The 4,146-nt window shown below is 58.7% G+C and overlaps 1 annotated feature.

The window, feature by feature from the left end:
• Nucleotides 2,383–2,677: a silencer, noted in NCBI's record as "tiled region #9254; HepG2 Repressive non-DNase unmatched - State 4:PromP, and K562 Repressive non-DNase unmatched - State 8:EnhW". NCBI's record gives its function as "represses a minimal TATA promoter and a strong SV40 promoter by Sharpr-MPRA in HepG2 and K562 cells {active_cell/tissue: HepG2 | K562}" and the evidence as "EXISTENCE:reporter gene assay evidence [ECO:0000049][PMID:27701403]".

The following is a 4,146-nucleotide window of genomic DNA, read 5'->3' on the forward strand; positions in this document are numbered from 1 at the left end:
AAGAGCACAGCCTCTACGTTGGATGCCCTGAATTTGAATCTCAACATGGCCACTTTGTATATAACCAGAGGATGGAATTGGGGACCCAATGGATCTACCATGACATGAACTTGCACCAACATTCACCTGACCTCCAAAATGCCTATTCTGACTGGTAGACCCTAGTCTCTCCCTAGTGCCAGTTCAGAGCCTGTGTCCAGTGATCCTGCATAGGTCTCATTAGTTTCTATTCCCCTGTTCAGTCATCCTAGTAAAAGGCTGTGTACTCCTTCAGGGGCAGGCTGGGAGAAAAATTGACAGTATAAATTTTTGGCAGTGGAGCAGAGTCCTTTTTGGAGGGGACCTGGCTTCCCATTCAGACAAAGGACTCCCGGTCTGTGAACTGGCTTATGTCTGGGAATTGACTGGAGACTGTGACTCTGTTTTTATGATTCAGATTAGACTTCTACTCACCTGACCTAGAACCCTTCTGCAAACACAGATCAAGTAAAAATGTGGCAGGCTTCTTACCTATTTCACTTCTAGGAATGCCACGATCAGCTGGCAGCATAGGTCTCTGCAAGTCAGGCAATTCTGGTTGCAGCTTTGACTCTGTTGTCTTTTATGGTAACTGCGTCCACCTTGCCTTTGGGGATTTAGTGCTGCGATCACTTGGCCCCAGCCCCTGTACTGTGCCTATGTCACTTACCCTCTTTATACCTCAGTCTCCTCCTCTGTAAAAATGGGCATCTAATAGCACCAAACCCCAGGGCTGCTGTGAGGTATACATGGATTAGCATATGGAAAGTAATAGAAGAGGGTCTCAAAGCCCATGTGTCATTAGCAGAATTATTTCATGACAGGGGAGAGCTGGAGGAGAGAGGAAGGTGCTGAGCAGACCCATGTGCTCTCCCACCTGTGTTTCCTGAGCGCCTATGTGCTGCCCACTGTGAGAGCTGTTAGGGTTGAAATAGGGAGCACAGCAGGGTAGGGGCCGCCATCAGGAGCTTAGTGGGGAGACCATTGTGCAACATGGTTCCAGCGCTTGGGGTGGGGAAGCTCAGGGAGTAGAGGGGCCTAGGATCCCGGGCAGAATCATGGAAAGGACATAGCCTCCCCAGCCTCTCCTGCCTCCACTGCCTCCCTGGCCTCCTCTGCTTCCCTGGCCTCTCCTGCCTTCCTGGCTTCCCCTTCCTCCCCAGCCTCCCCAGTCTCCCCTGTCTCTCCTGCTTTTGAGGTAGGCCAGGAGCTGCTGGTGCTCACTTAGCCTGTCCTGGACTCTTGGTGTAGCACCTCGATGTCCAGAAAATACCCCCGGGTTCAGCTTATCACACAGCCAAGGAAGGAGCTCCACACTGACACTAAGGGTGCATCCTGGGCTCATTCATCAGGGCATGCCTCCAAAATATTTCTCCACGTCTCCTCTCTTTGCCCACCTGCATTATCTCTGTGCCTGAGCCCTGGCTGGGGGCCTGCAAGGATCCCCTATCTCCTCTGTCCCTGCACGGCTGGGTCCCAGGCAATCTGTCTGCCCACCACACCTCTCTCCCCTCGCCCTCCATGCTCCAGCCCCACAGTCCTCTTTCTGCTTCTTTCCTAGCCTCTGGGCTTTTGCACACGCTGTTCCCTCTGCCCGAACATGCTCCACTGGGCTGAGAACAACTCTCTGAGACCTCTCTCAGCTGTTGCTTCCTTTGGAACAGCCGCTGCTGCTGTCCCTCTCCCAGCTCCAAGACCTGCTGAGCCTCCTGTCTTTCTCAGTTCCCATGACCCCAGCACTTCTCCTTGGCCTCCTTTTGCCCAATTGACAATGTCCGTTCTCAATGCCTTGTCACCCAGCGCTGAGCCCCACTGTGTGAAGGCCATGCCTGTCATGTTCACGACAATATCCCCTCTCCCATCACCACGCCTGGTCCACAGAGATGCTCAAAAAAGATCTGTTGGTAGGCAATGCGAAGGTGCATTCATGTCATCCTGCAGGCGGAATTCTCCACGAGTTTTGAGCAGCCTCGGTTTTCCCACCACCTCCAAATCATGCAAGACACAGGGTAAGAGCAAAGACAAGGTGGCTGTGGCTGATGTCCACCCTCTCGGGGCGTCCCTTCTCTTCTCTCTTCCTTGGGCAGGGAGACCATCGGGGTGCAACCTGGCTGGGGCGGGGAGGAGGTGCAGAGCCTGGCCGGAACTGGTCTGGCCAAGGGCAGGGGACAGCGACCGCCTAGGCCGGGGCAGGTGAGCGAGGCGCAGGCCCCGGCCCGGCGTGTCCGCGGTGCGCGCGAGCGGCCAGCAGAGGGCGCCAGAGAGCCAGGAGCGGCCTGCGGAGGAGCCCGCGCCGGCACCGATTCCCAGCTCCGCGCCACGCGGACCCACCGAGCTCGCGCTCAGACGCCCCAGCTCCGCCGAGAGGCCGCTCGCGCCGGGTCCTTCCTCTTCCCCAAGTGCAGGCCGAGCCTCCGCAGCCACGGCCAGCCCTTCGGGCAGCTCCAAAGCCACTGGCAAGCCCCGAGGCAGGGATGGCCGGCCCAGGAGGGAGGAGGACGACGTCCCTCCCTAGGAGAAGAACTGCGGCTGTTGCTGGAGGGGGGAAGCGCACAGCCCGACGACTGCGAGGACGGGGAGGACGCGCTGAGGTCAGGCAGGGAGGAGACCGGCACCCAGACAGGTGGCGACGGCAGAGGAGTAAGTGACGCGGGCGCAGGGGTCCGGGGGTGCCGGGGACGCGGGGGTGCCGGGGACGCGGGGTAGGGTGGGCGGGAGGCTCCGTGGCCGGCCCTGGGTTGAAGTTGGTAACTGAGCGGCAACTCCGGCGGGCGCGGAGTGACAGCTCGTGACGGCCTCCGAGACGCCAGCTGCCCCTTCTCGGCTGTGTGCCTTCGACTTCCTGATTCTCCCACGACGTCCCTGGCCTGGAGACCCGCTGGACTCTGCGGCTAGCCAAAAGGGGAAGGGGAGCCCCGCGTCCTGGGGGCCCCCAGCAGGGGAAGGGGCGGGGGTTGCCCCGGGCATCCTGTCTGGGGCATCTGTCTGGGACTCTGCCGGTGCCTTTCACCTGGCGAGGGGCTTGTGGCGGGGGCAGGGGGGAAGTCGCTGGCGCCAGGCTTGGCCAAGCCCTGCTCTGCTGGGCTGCGGGCTGGCGGCGCTCACCCAGCTCCTCACCTGCCCCGCATCTTCCTGTTTTTCTTCCCTTTCTGGTTGGGCAGCGAGAGTTGAGAGGAGGCAGATGGCTTACATCCCAGAAATCGCTCTCCTCTTTCCATCCCTACAGAGAGGGACAGAGAGACAAAGTTCCTTGCTTCCCCCGGGGCGCTGTCCCTGTGAGCTCCCGGTGTCCTGCACACGTGGAACCCTGAGTCACCGGGCCTGTGTGTGTGCGATGGGGCTCCGTGGCCAGCCTGGCCTCCTGGGGTTCACTTTCTGCTTTCCTACCCCAACTCTTCCTGTGTGGCTTTGCTGGCCTTCCACTGAGGAGGCACGTGGGTTTGGAGGGCAGATGAGGCCCGCTGGAGAGCTGTACCCCTCAGTGAGGGCTGCCACCTTGATGGTTTTTGATGGATAATGGGGTTGACCGCTTTGTTCCTTCCACATATTTTTATGTTTGACCATTTGCTCAGCAGAGCGTGTCTTAATCATTTGATTCGTGGTGAATGAGCCCCACATGGGAGAGAGGGCGGCCTTCATTCTGAACCCATTTAGGCAGCACGGGCAGCCCTCTTCGCCGTGGGCTGCATCAGAGCCCCCCTGCCCAGTCTTGGGGTTGCTCCCGGATGCTGTCTGGGAGGCTTGCTTATGGTGACATCCTCATCTCCCCGTGCACTTTACTACATTCAGAGCTTGGGTCACCTGGACACTGAACTCAGGTGAATTTTCTCTGAGATCCCGGGAGAAGGAGGACAGTTCTCTGGAAGGTTTTCCAGGGCGGATCACGGAAAGGATGGGAAGGGAGAGGTCCTGGTCGCGGACACAATTACGGTGGCAGTGTAACGCCGGGAAACTTTATTGCGTGAAGTCCCTCTTACTCCCTCTACATCCCTCTTTTACATGGACTCTGACAAAGACCAGGATACCAGAATGCAGTGGAGTGACCAAGTGTAGTGGGACCTTGGGAACAAGAGTCTGGAGCCAGGGGGCTGGAGTTTGCATCCTGGTTCTGCCCCTCCTTAGCTGGCT

Source organism: Homo sapiens, chromosome 4 (assembly GCF_000001405.40).
Source record: "Homo sapiens chromosome 4, GRCh38.p14 Primary Assembly".
NCBI lineage: Eukaryota > Metazoa > Chordata > Mammalia > Primates > Hominidae > Homo > Homo sapiens.